General features: G+C 38.8%; 1 protein-coding gene across 12 annotated transcripts in view, besides 2 other annotated features; it reads left to right on the top strand.

Annotated features, from left to right (window-relative positions):
* Positions 1–19,633, top strand: part of SUMF1 (sulfatase modifying factor 1) — a 432,784-nt gene that overhangs the window by 79,293 nt on the left and 333,858 nt on the right. For 9 of the 12 annotated variants that reach the window (XR_007095664.1, XM_017006254.3, XM_017006253.2 and 6 more), the window contains one exon: positions 11,588–11,647. The exons of the other annotated variants lie outside the window; for them this stretch is intronic. Coding sequence is in view for 8 of the 9 variants with exons in the window: in XM_017006254.3 (XP_016861743.1) it covers positions 11,588–11,647 (60 nt within the window). In the remaining variant the exon portion in view is untranslated. The remainder of the gene's footprint in view (positions 1–11,587; positions 11,648–19,633) is intronic. 12 annotated transcript variants of the gene reach the window in all.
* Positions 11,320–11,820: an enhancer, noted in NCBI's record as "NANOG-H3K4me1 hESC enhancer chr3:4417841-4418341 (GRCh37/hg19 assembly coordinates)". NCBI's record gives its function as "activates a minimal SCP1, AML or CMV promoter by ChIP-STARR-seq in naive H9 embryonic stem cells {active_cell/tissue: H9 hESC(naive)}" and the evidence as "EXISTENCE:reporter gene assay evidence [ECO:0000049][PMID:30033119]".
* Positions 11,821–12,321: an enhancer, noted in NCBI's record as "NANOG-H3K4me1 hESC enhancer chr3:4417340-4417840 (GRCh37/hg19 assembly coordinates)". NCBI's record gives its function as "activates a minimal SCP1, AML or CMV promoter by ChIP-STARR-seq in naive H9 embryonic stem cells {active_cell/tissue: H9 hESC(naive)}" and the evidence as "EXISTENCE:reporter gene assay evidence [ECO:0000049][PMID:30033119]".

The following is a 19,633-nucleotide window of genomic DNA, read 5'->3' as shown; positions in this document are numbered from 1 at the left end:
ATGAACCTCAACAAATTTTTAAAAATTGAAGACATACAGAATGTGTTCTCCAACCACAATAGAATCAAACTAGAAATCAGTAACAGAAATATAATAGGAAAATCTCCAAACACATGGAAACTATGAAACACGCTTCTAAATAATCCTTAGGTCACAGGGGAAGTCCCAAGGTGAATCAAACAGTGCACTGAACTGAATGAAAATGAAACATATCAAAATTTGTGGGATAGAGTGAAAACAGTGCTAAGAGGGAAATTTGCAGAACTGCATGTGTGCATTAGAAAAGAGAAAAAGTCTAAAATCAATATGTTTCAGCTTGACCCAGAAGAAAAAGGAGAAAACTAAACCCAAAGCAAGCAAAAGTAAGGAAATAATAAAAACAGAAATCAATGAAATAGACAACAGAAAAACAGAGAAAAATCAGTTAAATGAAGAACTGGGTCTTTGAAAAGATTTATAAAATTGACAAACCTCTAGCAAGTCTGACAAAGCAAAAAGAGAATACCCAGATTACTAATATGAGAAATGAAACAAGATATCAGTGCAAACTCTGTAGACATCAAAAGGATAATGAGGGAATACTGTGAACATCTGTATACCCATAAATGTGACAACTTAGGCGAGAAACAACACTTCCTCAAAAAACTCCAAATACCACAGTTTACCCAATATGAAATAGATAATTTGAATAGTCCTATAACTATTAAGGAAGTAGAATTAGAAATTTTAAAACTTCTCAAAAAACAAATCTCCAGGCCCAAATGGATTCATTGAAGAATTTTACTAGACATTTAAAGAAGAATCAACACCAATTCTACACAATTTGTTTTAGAAAATGAAAAGAAGGGAACACTTTCTAATCATTTTACGAAGCTAGTATTGCCTTGATCCCCAAACCAAAAGCAGTAAAAAAATAGAAGGTTACTACAGGTGAACATCCCTCATAAATAGAGACACAAAAATCCTTAACAAAATGTTAGCAAATAGAATTCATCAGTGTATTTTTTAAAACATGATAATTGAGGTTTATTCCAGGAGTGCAGTCTGGTTAAATATTTAAAAATCAGTCAGTGTAATCTACCATAATAAGAAGCAAAAGAAGAAAAAAAAAAACCACATGATTATATCAGTGCAGAAGAAGCATTTAACAAACTTCAACACTCATTTATAACAAAAATTCTCAGGAAAATAGGAATACAAAGATTTTCTCAAACTTAGTAAAGAGCATCTACAAAGAAACTGTATACCTACCATTATACTTAATGGTAAAAGACCAAGTGCTTTCCCACTAATATTGGGAAAAAGGTAACTATGTCTGTTTCCAGAACTCTTATTCAACATAGTGCTGGGATTTCTAGCCAGTAGAATAAGGTAAGAAATGGAAATAAGAGGTATACAGATCAGCAAGGAAGAAATAAAACAGTCCCTATTTGCAGATATATGAGTGTTTGTTTACATAGAGAAAGTCCCAAGGAATCTACCAAAATCTTCTTAAAACTAATATTTCAGTTTATAAAGTTTATAAGACACAAGATGAACATGTTTATTTTTGTAAGACTAACAACAAACACATGGACATTGAAATTTAAAATACAATACATTTACAGTCACCAAAACCAAATGAAATGTTTATGTGTAAATCTAATAAAATGTGTTTAGTACATGTGTGCTAAAAGCTATGCAACACTAATGAAAGAAATATCTGAATAAATGAAGAGACAATGCTCATGAATTGGAAAATTCAGCCTAGTAGAGATATCAGTTCTTCCCCCAATTGTTTAATGTAATTCCTATCAAAATCCCAGCAAGATTTTTTGTAGATATTGACATGATTATTCTGAAATATATATGGAAAGGCAAAGGAACTAGAATTGCTAAAACAATTTTGAAAAATAATAATGTGAGAGGAACCAATCTACCCAATTTGAAGACTTACTACTTAGCTACAGTAATCAAGACTGTTTGATATTGGTGGAGGGATATGCTTATAGATCAGTGGAACAAAATAGAGAATCCAGAAATAGGCCCACACATATATGATGCCCAACTGATTTTTGACAAAGTTGCCAAAGCAATTTAATGAAGGAAAGAAAGGCTTTTCAACATATGGTGCTGGAACAATTGGACATCCGTGGGCAGAAAATGAACCTCTACCTTAGTCTCACACCTTACATAAAAATTGACTCCAAATGAATCACAGAGTTAAAATTTAAACTGCAAAACTCTAAAACCTTTAGAAAAAAACACAGGAGAAAATCTGAGATCTAGGCCTAGGCAAAGAGTGTAGAGACTTGACACCAAAAAGCATGATCACCCACATATGGAAAAATAAATAAACTGGACTTTATAAAAACTAGAACTTCTTTTCTGTGAAAGAGCCTGTTAAGAGGATATAAAGGCAGGCTACAGAGTGGGAGAAAATATTCGCAACCCATATATCTGACAAAAGCCACATATATTTACAATACATAAAAAACTCAACACTCAGCAGTAAAAAACCGAACAATCCAATTAGAACACGTGCAGAAGACATGAAGAGACACCACAGAAGAAGATACACAGATGGCATGGAAGCACATGAAAAGATGCTCAACGTCATTAGCACTGGAGAAATACAAATTAAAACCATAAGGAGATACAACTACACACGTATCAGAATGGCTAAAATTAAAAAGTAGTGACTGGCTAGGATACAGAGAAACTGGATCATTTATCCATTGCTGGTGGTTGTGTGACAGAGTACAGCCATTCTGGAAAACAATTTGACGTTTTCTTTAAAACCTAAACATTCAGCTGGGCACAGCGGCTCACTCCTGTAATCCTAGCACTTTGGGAGGCAAAGGCAGGCTGATCTCATGAGGTCAGGAGTTCGAGACCAGCCTGGCTAACATGGTGAAACCCTGTCTGTGCTAAAAATACAGAAATTAGCTGGGCCTGGTGGTGCGTGCCTGTAATCCCAGCTACTCGGGTGGCTGAGGCAGGAGAATCGCTTGAACCTGGGAGGTGGAGGTTGGAATGACCCAAGCTTACTCCACTGCGCTCCAGCCTGGGCGACAGAGCGAGAGACCCTCTCAAAAAAAAAAAGAAAAAAGAAAAAAGAAAATGAAGTAAACATTCGACCACTATATTCCCTCCTTTGGCATTGATTCCAAAGGGATGAAAACTTATGTTCATACAAAAACCTGTACATAGCATCTTTATTCGTAATAGCCAAAAAAACTAGAAACAGCCGAAATGTCCTTCAGTGGGTGAATATTTAAACAAACCGATACATCCACACCATGGAATACTACTCAATAGTAATAAGGGATAGATTGTTGGTATGCAGAGCAACCTGGATGAATCTCCGGAGAATTATGCTGAGTGGAAAAAAAGCCAGTTCCAAAAGTTTACATACTGTATGATTCCACTTATATTAATATAACATTCTTGAAATGACAAAATTATAGGAGTGGGAAGGGGTTAGTGTTTTCCAGGGGTTAAGAAGGGGTTGGGGTTGGGAAGGAAGTGGTCGTAACTATAAAAGGGCAACGTAAGGGATCCTTGTGATGGAAATGTTCTGTGTCTTGACTGTGTCAGTGTCAACATCCTGGTTGAGATACAGTACAGAGTTTTGGAAGATGTTGCCATTGGGGAAAACTGGATATAGAGTACACCAATTCCTCTGTTACCTTTTACAGCTTCATGTGAATCAACGGTTACCCATAATAAAGGTTTAATATTTTAAAATGAAGGAGAAATAAAGTCATTGTAGATTAACAAAGACAGTGAATCTGCTAGCAGATCTGCCATACTAAGAAATACTAAGCAGTTTTTCTAGACTGAAAGGGACTGGAACTAGCTGATACCTCAGATAGATACACAGGCAGAACTGACAAGCAGGAAATATGGTAAATAGGTAAGTAGAAAAGACTGCATTTATTTTTTCACTTCATTCCTTTTAAAAACGTAAGATTGTTTAAAGCAATAATGGTCACACTGTGTTGTTAAGTTTTTCACATATATAACTGTAATATGTATGACAGTAATACTATGCATTTTGTTTGTTGATATGTCTTTGTCAAGACTATGAAGAGTCTGAAATTTTATTCTGTTTGCAAGCTCATGAGTTAGGCCACTACAGTGTCATGGATGCTGGCAGAAGACATGAAGTTTCTGTGTCAGAGTTACAGATTTTTCTAGTCACAGCACAGCAGGCAACATGCACTTCATGTTCACATCGCTTCCCCTTGTCTCCCAAATCCCATAAGGATGACACAGTAGGTCTTTGTCACAGCCGGAGAATCCTGAGCTTAGGAGACTCCAGTCTTATAAAGAGGTTTATAATAAACATACCCAACCTTTGACATTATTGTTCTGGCCAGGAAACAAACCTGCCTTCTGTCATCTTCTGAGACTGTTGGTTACACAAACATCCTTCAAAAGATAATCCAGGACAAAAACTGCCACAAGGCATATAGAATTGCCCCGTGCCACCACCACGACCAGAGGATATTTTAAGCCTCTCAATTTATAACTTCTCTCTTTTTCCTCCCTTGCTATTTATTTGTTGAAAAGATGTCTGATCTCTTTTTATTTTTATTTATTTATTTATTTTTGAGTTGGAATCTTGCTCTGTCGCCCAGGCTGGAGTGCAGTGGCACAATCTTGGCTCACTGCAGCCTCCGCCTCCCGGGTTCAAGCAATTCTCCTGCCTCAGCATCCCTAAAAGCTGGAATTATAGGTGTGTACCACCACGACTGGCTAATTTTTGTATTTTTAATAGAGACAAGGTTTCACCATGTTGGCCAGGATGGTCTTGAGCTCCTGACCTCCAGTGATCCGTCTGCCTTGGCCTCCCAAAGTGCTGGGATTATAGGCATGAGCCACTGCGCCCGGCCCTGATCTCTTTTTTTTTTTCTTTTTATTATACTTTTTAAGTTCTGGGGTACACGTGCAGAATGTGCAGGTTTGTTACTTAGGTATACACGTGCCATGGTGGTGTGCTGCACCCATCAACCCGTCACCTACATTAGGTATTTCTCCTAATGCTATCCCTCCCCTAGTCTCTGACCCCCTGACAGGCCCCAGTGTGTGATGTTCCCCTCCCTGTGTCCATGTGTTCTCATTGTTCAACTCCCTCCTGTGAGTGAGAACATGCGGTGTTTGGTTTTCTGTTCTATTGTTAGTTTGTTGAGAATGATGGTTTCCAGCTTCATCCATGTCCCTGCAAAGGACATGAGCTCATCCTTTTTTATGGCTACGTAGTATCCCATGGTGTATATGTGCCACATTTTCTTTATCCAGTCCATCATTGGTGGGCGTTTGGGTTGGTTCCAAGTCTTTGCTATCATGAGCAGTGCCACAATAAACATATGTGTGCATGTGTCTTTATAGCAGAATGATTTATAATCCTTTGGGTACATACCCAATAATGGGATTGCTGGGTCAAATGGTATTTCTGGTTCTAGATCATTGAGGAATCACCACAAATGATCTATTTTTAAAAGAATTTCCCATGGCCTGGGTTTTGTTCATTGCATCTTCGTGGAATCATTTTAGTATATTCTTCTACCCCTTGTATTTCCTACAATCTTTGTTTAGATTTAAAGTCTTGATTATATTTAGGCTTTAGGTAGGATGTGTGTGTGTGTGTGTGTGCATGTATGTGTGTGTGTATGTATAAGAGTAATTAAAAATACTTCATAGGGCTGTGTATATTCTTTATATCATATCAGGAGGCATAGTATGCATGGCTTTTATCGTGACACCGATAAGATTATTTTTGTTAATAAGATTGATCAGTATTTAAGTAGGCATTGTCAGTCTGAACCATCCGTTACGAGGATCTTCATTAGCCTTTCACTCACTGATTTTAGCAGCCATTGATACTCATTGCCTAGATTCAGTTCTTGAGGAAGGTTTTTTTGTTTGTTTGTTTGTTTTCCTGAGACAGAGTTTCTCATTCCTGTTGTCTAGGCTGTAGTGCTGTGGCGCAGTCACTGCTCACTGCAACCTTTGCCTCCCAAGCTCAAATGGTTCTCCTGCCTCGGCCTCTTGAGTAGCTGAGACTACAGGCGTGCCCCACCACGCCCGGCTAATTTTTGTATTTTTTGTAGAGATGAGGTTTCACCATGTTGCCCAAGGCCGGTCTTGAACTCCTGGGCTCAAGCAATCTTCCCATACTGGCCTCCCAAAGTGCTGGGATTACAGGCATGAGCCATTGCACCTGGCCAAGATTTTTGACATAGTGATATTCTATTACTCTTTCTGCATTAATTATCTGGAATTCCTCTATAAAGAACATTCACTCATAACTCTTCTATTTTCCTGAGGCATAGTTTGTGTGAGGAAGTCAGAATAAATGCTTGATGCTGTTATTTTCTTAGTAAAAAGTGATAGTAAAGTGTACACATACAGAAGTGCCTCATTCTTTGTAGTGGGTGCTTAGCATTTCATTACTATGGATTGTGTCAAATGACATGTTTATTATTTGTTTTAATTTTTTTAATTTCCGTTGGTTATTGGGGAACAGGTGGTGTTTGGTTACATGGGTAAGTTCTTTAGTGGTGATCTGTGAGATTTTGGTGCACCCCCACCCGAGCAGTGCACACTGCACCCGATTTGTAGCCTTTTATCCGTCACCCCCTTCCCACCCTTTCCCCGAGTCCCCAAAGTCCATTGTGTCATTCTTATGCCTTTGCATCCTCGTAGCTTAGCTCCCACTTATGAGTGAGAACATATGATGTTTGGTTTTCCATTCCTGAGTTACTACACTTAGAATAATAGTCTCTAGTCCCATCCAGGTCGCTAGTGGTGCCTTTTGACTGTTTGCTGAGTGATGGAAATTTGTCACACTCTCCATCCCTTCTGTTGCTTTCCTTGTCAATGTATTGGGCATGACGAGGGAAAGGGAAATGTCTCTTGACTACACAGAGTGCAGTCGTTGTGCTGTGAAAAATGTCCTGGTAGCCGTGAGCAGGCTGGCTACCCCTCTTCCTTACAGACTCATTCCTCCTCCAAACAAGCCAGTCTCACTGATACGTGGTTCTGTGGCATCTCCAGTGGATTCAACTCATCCTTAAAGACTTACATGCCCTCCCAGGTGTTTTAAACAGGGGTAGATTTCTCTGCACTAATGCTGAGTGTTGCTTCTTCATCACTTTTCCCGAGAACTTTAGCTGTACCTTGGCCTTTTGAGATTATTGGGACTGTTATGTAGAAACCTGTGTGTTTTGCTGTTCTTGCGACCATGCAAGCATTGGAGACATGTTGATATTTTCGTGTCTATGGGACTAGAGCAGTTACGGGCAGTAGTACCTTTGGAGACAGGATTCACGATGGTTCCTGCCTGGTTGTAGGCGGAGTCCCTATGTTCCATATGTTTTTCCACTGAGACTTTGTTTTTCTTTCCAACTTTCATTTTAAGTGCAAAGGATGGATGTGCAGGTTTGTTACATGGGTAAATTGTGGGCCGTGGGGGTTTGGTGTAGATAATTTTGTCACCCAGGTAATCAGCATAATATTCAGTATGTAGTTTTTCAGTCCGCATCCTTCTCTCACCCTCCACCTTGCCCAAATAGGTCCCAGTGTCTATTGTTCTCTTCTTTGTCTCCATGTATATCCAATGTTTAGCTCCCATTTATAAGTGAGAACATGCGGTATTTGGTTTTCTGTTCCTGCGTTAATTCACATAGGATAATAATGGCCTGCAGCACCATTCATGTTGCTGCAAAGGACATGAGTCATTCTTTTTTATGGCTGTGTAGTATTCCATGGTGTATATGTACCACGTTTTCTTTATCCAGTCCACTGCTGATGGATATCTAGGTTAATTCCAAGTGGATTCTTATGCATCCCCAAGACTCTTGAGCACAGGAGGTGGAGGTGGTAGGGCCCTGCAGCCGCTCTTCCTGCTGTGGTATACAGGCAAACAGATGAGGTGTTTAAACACCACCACCAATAGCCACTTAAGTTGTTTTAGCCTGCAGTCATAAACTTGATCATGAGAGACACTGTTAATTTTGATTTATTAATGTTTTCTTTCACAAATGGGAATGGAGATACCCCTCTTCCCCAACTCTCTGGATTAATCTGCTAGGGCTGCATAGCAAATTACCACACTTAGTATCTTTTTTTTTTTTTTTTTTTTTTTTTGAGATGGAGGCTCGCTCTGTTGCCAGGCTGGAGTGCGGTGGCACGATCTCGGCTCACTGCAACCTCCGCCTCGCGGATTCAAGTGATTCTCCTGCCTCAGCCTCCCAAGTAGCTGGGACTATAGGTGTGTGCCACCACGACCAGTTAATTTTTGTATTTTTAGCTGAGATGGGGTTTCACCATATTGGCCAGGGTGGGCTCCATCTCTTGACCTTGATCTCTTGACCTCCATCTCTTGACCATCTCTTGGCCTCAGCCTCCCACTCTTAGTGTCTTGAAACAACAGAAATTTATCCTCTCACAGTTCTGGAGGCTAGCAGTCTGAAATCAAGGTGCTGGCTGTGCCACACCCCATCTGGAGTCTCTAAGGGAAGATCCTTCCTGGTGACTTCCAGGAATCCTTCTCATTCCTTGGCTTGTAGCCGCCTCACTCCAGTCCCTGCCTCCATCACCACATAGACTTCTCTGTGTTCCTCTGTGCATCCTCTCCTCATCTTATAAGGACACCAGTCATTGGATTTAGGGCCCGCCCTAATCCAATATGATCTTATATTAATTACAAAAATTACAAGTCTGCAAAGTTCCTATTTCCGAATCAGGTCAGACACTAGGGCTGTGAATGAGCATTAATTTTGGGAACACTCTTCAACCCACTACACCCTCCTAGTAATTTTTCTGTTTTTTGGCAAAGTGGCAAGCATTTCAAACAGTTTTAGTTAATTATCATGTTGTTTGCTAGCAAAAATAGTTTTATTTATAAGAAGCAGCTGAGCAGTCACCTAAATTGAGGACTGTGTTAGGTGCCACAGTTGTGTCAGCCTGGGATGACTGTCATTACTACTTGCGTCACTGTGATAAGTGTCGTAGTTATTGATTGCAGACTTAGTTCATTGAAGTTGATGATGAAAGGCAACTATTTTGTTCCCATGCCTTCCCATTGGCAAATCAACTCCTTCTTGTTCCTAGATCTACTTGAGGAGTCTAAATTGCACGCTAGCAGATACTGGGAGAGACTTGAATCACAATTTGATACATTGTAACAGAGCATGCAGAGAACCACCTAAAGCAGTGTAATGCAAGAATTGTTAAGCGAGAAACAGTGTAGGAGAGTGTGGCCATTACATGGGAGAGTTCCACAATTATAAATGCTTTCATTGCTGCTACAGTGAATTCTTGGTAATTGTCTTATAGAGTAATAAACTGACTCAGAGTGTTTGTCAGATTCTAGATATTCCTGGGAAGAAAACTGCTGCCAGCCATTATTTTGACACGTAGCTTTTCACGTTTGCAGTGTGCCTGTTTGTAATTAACAAAAGTTTATTAATGTGACATTAAGCATTTAAGGCCTTGGAAATATTGTAGCCCTGCAGTTGAAGGAGGAATAGCCAATGGCTTTGTCTGTGATAGTTTCTAAGCACAGACAGTCCCCTACTTACAATGGTTTGACTTAAGATTTTTTTTGAGTTTACAATTGTGCAAAAGTGATATGCCTTTGGTAGAAACTGTGGTTTAAGTATCCATACAACCATTCTGTTTTCCACTTTCAGTTCAGTATTCAGCAATTTACATGATATATTCCACAATTTATTATAAAATAGGCTTTGTGTTCTTAGATGATTTGCCCAACTACAGACTAACATGAGTGTTCTGAACATGTTTAAGGTAGGCTAGGCTAAGCTGTGATGTTGGGTAGGTTAGGAGTATTAAATGCATTTTTGACTTAATAATATTTTCAACTTATGATGGATTTATCAGGACAGGACCTAATCCCATGCTAAGGAGCATCTGTACCTGGAAATGCTTAGAAGGTAATGTGCACTTCTGCCCACATGGTTTACATTTGCAAGAAAGTACATTAGCCATGCTTGGAGAAAACGTGATTCTTTTAATTTCTGCCACTTAAGTAAGGGTGCTTTTGGGTCACAGGAGAAGGAAAAACTAAGATAGGAGTGGGGTTGTCCCGGCCTCTTGCGTTTTTGGAGCAAATAGTAGACAGGTGTGTGATTAATTGTCTTTTTGAACAAAAAAAGGAGATAAATCCCTTTCCCCATAGACTCCCCTGATACGGTTCTGGCTTATTAGAGCCTATTTATTGGTACCTCTCAGATGCTGTGTATGCCTTACCTGATGTTGAGGCTTTTATCTTGGCAACTGATGCTTTAGGATTTTCATTTCCTTTGAACTTTTATCTGAAGCCCTTCCTAGAAAAAAGTCTTGCCATTATACTGGCTCTGTGTAGATGTTAATTCTTATTACAGTGGTAGACGCTGCTCTTCCTTGCCTCCTTTTAAGCATTGCCTAATTTCCTACACTTCTTGTCTCTAAGTGGGAGCGCAGTGGAGTGCCTCAGAGCATGGACTCTGGAGCAAGGCTGCCTGACTGTGCCACTTATTTTACCAGTAACTTAACCTACCTCCAAGGTTGGATGGAGAATACCTGAGTTAATATTTGTAAAGTGCTCAAACTGTGCCTGGTTCATAGTACGTATATGTGTCTTTTTTTTTTTCTTCAAGATAAACCATGTTGTATGTCTTGATTGTGGTAGCGGTTACATGACTATATATGTTTGTCAAAACTCACTGGAACTGTGCACTTAAAAAGGATGAATTTTACTGTATATTAATTATATCTTAATAAAGCACACCTAAATTTTTTTAAGGCTAACAAGCAAACTCTTTCATTCAATCAGCAAACTATTTATTAAGTATTACACAGCGGGATTATAAAAACATATAATTCTGGCTTGGCATGGTGTTGCATGCCTGTAATCCCAGCACTTTGGGAGGCTGAGGTAGGAGGGTCACTTGAGCTCAGTAGTTCAAGACCAGCCTGGGCAATATAGCGAGACCCTGTCTCTACAAATAATAATTTTTAAAAATTAGCTGGGCATGGTGGTTCATGCCTGTGGTTCTAGCTACTTGGGAGGCTGAGGAGGGAGGATTGCTTGAGCCCAGGTGGTCAAGGCTGTAGTGAGCTATGATCACAGCACTGCACTCCAGCCTGGGTGACAGAAGGAGACCCTGTCTCAAGAAAAATTTTTGTTTCAAAAAATACCATGCAATTCAAAGAGGCTTGCCAGTGTAGATGAGTAAACCAGTTATAACACAGGATAAATTTGCATCATGACATGGTAAGAGGTGCAGCCAAGCAGCTTATTAGTCATCTAGGCAAGAAATGCTGTAGGGACTTAGAGACAGGATTGCTTCCTGTAGTTACGAAGACTTCACCAAAGAGTGGAAACTTGAGGTGGGCCTTAGAAGATGGGTAGGATTTGGGGAGGTGAGCATTTGGGAGAGCCCACGAATACAGATACAAAGCCTAGGGGTGGAAATGCATGTGGAGAGTTTAGGCAACCATGAGAGAGCTGGTTGGATCAAAGTGGATTCTCTCCCACTGTGTAAGGGGCAGCTTTGCCTTCTGGTCTAACATAGCCTTTTTTCTTCATCTGTAGAAAGGTCCCCCTTCTGGGAAAGACCGAGTGAAGAAAGGTGGATCCTACATGTGCCATAGGGTAAGTCATGTCACTAAACTGTTTTGCCGTTCTTGTTCTGATAGCAGTTTTATGGATCCATTGTAAATGATAGCCCCAAATGTCTCATTCACTTCTGCAAATGCCTACCTAACCCCACTGAAACCAGAAAAAAAGGAGGACAGTCATCTCAAATTTGGTTACAAGCATGGAGAAAAGTAACACAAGTAACAAAGGTTGTGAATGACCTATTGTCAACCAAATTTCATCTATTGAATCTTGCCCCTTTGAGAGACCTTTGTTGTCCCACGAACTGCACAGGGGTGGGTGTATATAACTTTTCCAGCATGTAAGTCTGAAAGCACACCCTTAATTTATTTGAGAATCCTGTACATTTCTGGATTTTCTGTTGAGATTCAGGTGAGAGTTATGTATGGAGGGCAGATTGTGATATACTGAAATGGAAGCATCCCGTGTTCTAGGTACAAAGTGTGCCTTGTGAAATAAGCATCATTCCCAGAGAGTGTTTCTTCTCTTTGGGCTATGATTTTAGTGTCTGAGCTGGCTTTCTTCATCAGTTAGAGTGACTTGGTGTTTCCTAAATAACCTTTATAAGGAATTTGGAAATAGAATACCATCCCTTCCCTTTTTTCTTTGAGTCATATATTTTTCACGTCTCCTGAACTCCAGCTTTCTATCCCTGTGCAGAGATGGCATTTTGCAGATTGTTATTGCCTCAAAGCTTCCCCTAGGAATTTATTCAGTCCAGGTGGTTAGAGACTTAAAACCACCTATAATGGCTCCAAATTAAGTTACTAATTTGATAATGATGGCATTATCAAATTTTGTCTTAAACAGTGGTTCTCAAACTTTATTCCACATTGTAATCATCTGGGATCTATATAAAATACTGATGTCTGGCTCCTCACTCACCCCCATTCTGATTTGATTTTTCTTCAGTGTGAGCTGGGCATTGCATTTTTTAAAGCTCTCCAGGTGATGAAAACATACAGCCAAGTTCGGGAATCACTAGCCTAAAGCAAATCTCTCTAGATTTTATGTATATATGTGAGTTTGTATGTATGTGTATCTTCTGTATTTCTTAGAATTTTTAATCCAGTGATTCAGGTTGAAGTTCATAGAGCAGAGCTCAATTGATGCTTTAGACCTACATTGGTAATAAGATGTAGACCAATTTATTTTCATGAAATCTTTTTTTTTTTTTTTTTTTTTTTTTGAGACAGAGTCTCACTCTTCACCCAGACTGAGGTGCAGTGGCACAATCACAGCTCACTACAGCCCCGACCTCCTGGGCTCAAGCGATCCTCCCATCTCAGCCTCCTAAGTAACTTGGCTAATTTTTAAATTTTTTTTAGAGATGGGGTCTTGCCATGTTGCCTAGGCTGGTCTTGAACATTTGGGCTCAGGAAATTCTTCCTGCCTTTGCTTCCCAAAGTGTTGGGATTACAGGCATCAGCCACTGTGCCCGGCCTAAAATCCTAGTTTTAATTTTAAATTAAAAGCATTGTCCCAGGTCTTCCCAATATATTTACATGTTCACGTATACATCAGAGTCTTTAATCCCAGATTGCTTCTCTATTTGAAGTTATTGCTACAAATGTACCTGGATCTTCTTGCCAGGAAACCAGACTTCCATGGAAAACAGGTGAATCTCTCTTTGTACAGTAGTATCTCAAAATCCTAATTGTCACCAGTTATGTCTCTGGCATATGGCACTTTTCTAAATTCAGAATCCATTTACTTTCTAAGTAATTGAGGACCAGAAGATTTTTCATCAAGAATAAATGGGGTAACAGAAGCTTGTAAAAAACATTTTAAGCAAGTAAAGGACATTAACTGTCCTAATTCCATGCGTATGAATGTATCTACTTTCATGTTTTATAACTTTTAGCTTATTTGTAATCTACATTTTTATAAGCTTCCCAGTAGATTCTTTAAAAATATCTTTTAAACTCCTACATACTTTATTAAGTACACTTACATGGTACTGATTTTTTATGTTCATCTTGAGTCTTGCAACCTTGCAAAACTCATTTATTAGTTCTAGTAATGTTTTTGTAAATTGTATCATATTTTCTACATAGCTGATCATATGATCTGTGAATATCGACAGTTCTTCCTTTTTAATCTAGATCCCTTTTATAACTTTTTCTTGCTGTATGTCATTGGCTAGAACCTTCAGTATAGGGTTGAATAGGAATGGTAAGAGTAGACCTTCATACCTCATTCTTGATCTTAGGGAATAAACATTCAGTTTTTCAAAATTGGATATGTATTAGCAATAGCTTTTTCATAGATGCATGCCCTTTACAGCTTGAGAAAGTTTTTTTCCATTGCTAATTTTTTAGAGTTTTTTATCAGCAATGGATGTAGATTTTGCTGGGAGCTTTTTCTGCATCTATTGAGATGATAATATGATTTTGCTTTTTCTATCTGTTCATATGGTGAATTACATTGATTTTCAAATATTAAGCTATCCTTGCATTCCTGGGATATGTATCATTCCACTTAGTCATGATGTATTATCTTTTTTATACATTTTTGGATTTGATTTGCAAAAATTATGAGTATTTTTGAATCTAGTTTATTCTGTGTTTTCTTGTAATGTCTTTATCTGATTTTGGTTTCAGGGTATTGCTGACTTCATAGATTGAGTTGTTAAATATTAACTTATTTTAAATTTTTTTGCAAGAGTTTATGTAGAATTAGTGTTATTATTGAAATGTTTGATAGGATTCCTTGGTGAATGCATTTGGGCCGAGAGTTTTAACTATTAATTAATTAATTTAGAGACAGGGTCGAATTTCTGAACTCAAGCAATTGTCCTGCCTCAGCCTCCTGAGTGGCTGGGACTACAGGTGTGAGCCAGTATGCCCATTTTTTTTTTCTTTTACTGTAGGCCTAATTTTTTAAATAGATGTAGGACTATACAGCTTATCTGCTTCTTCTTGAGTACATTCTAGTAGTTTGTATCTTTTAAGGAATTTGTCCATTTCATTTGAGTTATTGTATTTATTGGCATAATCTCTGCCTTTCATTGGGTGTTTAGACCATTTATTTTTAATGTGGTTTTTAATATGGTTGGGTTGAAATGTGCCATCTTGATTTTTTTTCTCTTTGTCTCACCTGTTGTTGTTCTCTGTTTGTCTTCTTTTCGATTACATACTTTTTATCACCCCATTTTCTCTCCTTATGCTTATTAGTTGTAACTCTATGTTTTATAATCTTAGTGGTTGATTTAAAGTCTATATTATGCATTTTTATCTTTTCTTAGCTTACTTGAAGGATTTGTTTTAATTTAGTCAGGTTCCATGTGATGGGGATAACATTTTAGAAGAGGAGAATAGCAGATTGACAGAACTGAGTGGGATCCACAGGATTTTCCATAGAAAAATGGCACTTCCAGGATCTTGGTCAAATGAATTGTTTATTAGGTTGGTCTTTATCATCAGTCTGGTTATATCTGTAAGGTTAGGAAAATAGCATAGTGTCGGTTGTGAATTATTTTCAGAGTGCTTAGCCTTTCCAGTAGATGAAGAGTAACAGCTTTTACTAAATTATTGAGATGTGGATTAGGGAATTACATCTGGATTGGAGTTCTATATCTGTTTCTTGCCAGGTATGTGACCTTGGGCAAATTACTTAATCTTTCTAAGCCTCAGTTTTTACATTTGTAACATAATATAATTGTACCCATTATAAGGTTCTGATGAGGAGTAAATGAACCAACATATATAAGTTCTTGGTACAGTGCTTAGCTTATGGTAAAGGCTCAGTAAAAGTTAGTTGCTCCTATCAGCATCATCTTTATTATAATTAGATTATTTCCCCTCTTCTCTTTTGAAGAAGGAACCAACTAATAAACTCCCAACTAGACAGGCAAAAGCAATGTTCATGGCATAGGTGAAAATCAATAAAAGGAAAAAAATCAATAAAAAGAAAGAATAATGTTATAATTCATTTTTTAAAAAATTTTCTTTTTTAGATGATGACTTATTTTTGATCATGGGCCAACACCAGTTTGCCTGGCTAAAGTAAATTCTTTTTTTTGAGACAGAATCTTACTCTGTGACCCAGGCTGGAGTGCAGTGACATGATCTAGGCTCACTGCAATGTCCGCCTCCCAGGTTCAAGCATTTCTCCTGCCTCAGCTTCCTGAGTAGCCGGGATTACAGGCTTGTGCCACCACGCCCAGCTAATTTTTGTGTAGAGATGGGGTTTCACCAAATTGGCCAGGCTGGTCTCGAACTCCTGACCTTAAGTGATCCTCCCGCCTTGGCCTCCCAAAGTGCTGAGATAACAGACATGAGCCACCATGCCCGGCCTGCCTGGCTAAAGTAAATTCTGATGATCATTCATAATTTTTTGAAAATCTATCCAAAGTATAGCTTCAATAAGGAGATGGGGGCACAGAAAGAAAAACTATGAGGCAACATGTCATCTGGTTAAGGGTGCAGACTTTGGAATCAGATTGAATAGGCTAGAACCTTGGATCCACCATTTATAAACCATGTGACCTTAGGCACACTATTAACATCTGTGTGCCTCAATTTTTCCTCATGTATACAGTGCAGATACTAATGATGCCTATCTCATAGGATTGCTGAGAGGATTAAGTGAATTAATACGTAGTAATACAGTTCACATAGTAAGTACTCAAGAAATACTCATTGTTGTTGATGTTGTTAGATTAATCCCTCTGGGTCTTTAGCTCAGCCTACAACATTAAGGAAATCCTCACCATCCTACCAAGATGAAGAGCAAAAGGAGTTGGTCTAGTGTTAGTGGCAAGAGCAACGGACGGGAAATTGAGACCTCTGTTCTGTTGTGGCATTCTCTATAATGATTTCGTTTAACATGAGTTACAATTATCTTTAAAATGCCCTTTGTACCAAAAAGTCTCCCTCTCATAAAAACCATATTGCTGCTCCCCTTTACTTTGAAGCCCCAAGGCTGGTAAGTCATTATCTTAAATGGATTGTTCCCAAGTCCAGGATCTCATTCTTAGCACAGACATGGAGATCAATTTCACACAGTAATTAGCCATCTTAATGAAATAGGACTAAAACAGGTCCTTCCCACTTTCCCTGTTCTTAATTAATAGAATGACCCATTTTTCAGCCACCTAAAGACCTCACATCCTTAAGAACCACTTTTGCTGCTAAAAATAAAGTTGGTAAAAAAGAAAGAGCAATGAGGACATTTATAATGAGGCCATTTACCTCTTTAATTATGTGCTTTATTAGTTGGAATTTAAAATAAACGACTTATTAATAAATGTTTGCTGAGTGAATGAGTGCATTTGAAATGGAATGATGTGTGAATTGACTGTTTTCTCAAGTGATGGCCCTGACCTCGCAACACTAACTTTTGTAGTGAGTCTTGCTTTTTAGGGTTTAATTCTTTATTGTCATTTTGGTTAATGGACAGTCTCAGGGATTGCTGTGATCTAATAAAGAACTAAATTTTGGTGGTGGGGAAGGGAGAGGCACTGATTTTAAACTTTTCATTATTCAAAGAAAACATTTTCATAGCATAAAATTTAGAAAATACATAGTAAAGATCAAAATGAAAATAAGATCATCATGCTTTCTAAAGAAAACAATTGATAGTATTCCAGCAAACTTTTTGTGTACTTAATTTTTGTCTTTCAAGAATGGAATTATTCTGTATATACCGGGGTCTTCAGATATGGCCCTGGGAATAATCTCTTGTATATGTCTTTTCACTATCCTGTGTCGCAGCTGTAGAATCCTCAACCCAGTGCTTTGGGCAGATCCCAACAGTTCATTTGAGTGGTTATATGCTAGGTTTTGTGGCATATGAATATCATCTTATTTTAAAATAGTTTCTGATATAATTTAAGAGATAAGTGACAGGTAGAAATATGCCATTCAACAAAAACCTAAGTCCTATGCCCTATCACCAGAGAGATTTCTTAACTTTCCCATTTATGTAGCAAATGTATATCCACATTCAGATGCTGGCAGGGCTATTACCATCTTCCTGCAGTTGAACACAAGGTTTCTAAGACCTGCTTAGAAGCTGGCTAATACCTTTGTTGTTTTAGTGAGGAAGCCAGTTACCCCAAAGACATCATTAACCACCTTTGTGCCAGTCATTACTCTTGCCTGGAATTCTCATGCTCCAGATCTTTGGGCAACTCAGCCCACATGTGATCTTCTCAGAGAGGCCTTTCCAGACCACCACCCTATCGAAAGTAGCCACCCAGTCACTCTCAGTCCTCTTTCCCTATTTTCCTTCCTGCAGAGGTGACTGCTCCTGGAAACCATCTTGAATGTATCGGTTTATTTATTGTCTGACAATTCCCTTTTGAATGTCAGCTCCCTGATAACAGCTATCTTGTTTGTCTTGTTCTGATTGTATCCGTCATACCTAAAATAGCATCTGGCATATTGTAAGCTCTCATATATTCAGTGAATAATTAAACCATGCCCTGATATGATCAGGCTCTGGCCTTGCTATCCTCTCAACTTCCCCTCTAAATCCTATAAACTAGTGTTACTCAAAGTGTGGCCCATGGGCCTGTAGCATCAGCAGCACCTAGAAGCTTGTTAGAAGTAGGTTCTTGGGCCCCATACTAGACTTCCTGAATCAGAGTTTCTGGATGTATGGCCTAGGAACATGGATTTAAGCAACCTGTATTGGCCATTCTTATGTATGCTGAGGTCCGAGGACCACTGCCATGATCATGGAAATCTCATCCACATCAATTTTTGCCTTCTAAAAAAGCGTGTACGTTTATGGGACAAGAATGACATGTCATCTGTGTAGCTCCCCCTGAACCTGATCTTTGTTGCAGTGTGGAGTTTGCTACACATGCTTGGCTGCATGGGGCCCTGGATTATCCACAGGAACTTGATTCTAGAAATACCAAAGCACTGTTGTTTCACAGCAGCCCGACGAGTAGGCCCTGCATGGAATGAGGCTTTTGCTATGTCTTCCTGCATGGTCACCTCTAGTCATTTGAGAGCTTCCATTGCATGCAGATCACACATAGTAGGAGATGCCATCAATTTATCAATTATTTCAAGCACACTTTAAATTCATCTTCCTTTTGTCTACCTGAGAATTGCTAATGTTATATTATTCACTGACCACAAGGAAAATGAGAAAATTGGTTGCTATCATTTCACTATCTATAGAAGACAAAGCACTGTCTTTATTTTTACAGTAGAAGTGCTCTAAAGAATTTCTGTGTCAACTTGAGATACTTTTCACAAAGACAAGAAGCATTTTACTTTTCTGAGAGAAAAGAGAATAATTTAAAAAAAAAAAAAAACCTTTTGCATGCCAACTTATCTTCCCCCTGAGTCCAAATTATCGCTTCTGCACAGATTCTAAAGTTATTCCACATGTTGCTTTGTGAAACTTCTTTAACCAGTTTGCAGGGACTTGAGCTGTACTGGGCCAACTCAGAGTTTATGCTCATGGCACACAGGATGACTAGTTTATTTTTATTCTCCGTTTTTTTGGATCGGAGAACAATCCTAGGGCACAAGAGTTTCAAGCGTGGTTATTTTTGGCATGTGGAGGCTTTTGAAGTAATCTGTGGTTAATCACTGAATACCTGCTAGGTAGTCAGGGATATGTGCGTTAGGCTCTCTTATGTTTATGCAAGTGTACAAGTGCATGCAGGGCTTGTGTATTGGGCAGTGGGAAAGAAGACATGAGTCGTGATACTCTTCCATGGTGTATATGTGCCACATTTTCTTAATCCAGTCTGTCATGGTTGGACATTTGGGTTGGTTCCAAGTCTTTGCTATTGTGAGTAGTGCCGCAATAAACATACGTGTGCATGTGTCTTTATAGCAGCATGATTTATAGTCCTTTGGGTATATACCCAGTAATGGGATGGCTGGGTCAAATGGTATTTCTAGTTCTAGATCCCTGAGGAATCGCCACACTGACTTCCACAATGGTTGAACTAGTTTACAGTCCCACCAACAGTGCAAAAGTGTCTCTATTTCTCCACATCCTCTCCAG

Source organism: Homo sapiens, chromosome 3 (genome assembly GCF_000001405.40).
Source record: "Homo sapiens chromosome 3, GRCh38.p14 Primary Assembly".
Taxonomy (NCBI): Eukaryota; Metazoa; Chordata; class Mammalia; order Primates; family Hominidae; genus Homo; species Homo sapiens.
This window is presented reverse-complemented; position numbering and strand designations above follow the sequence as displayed.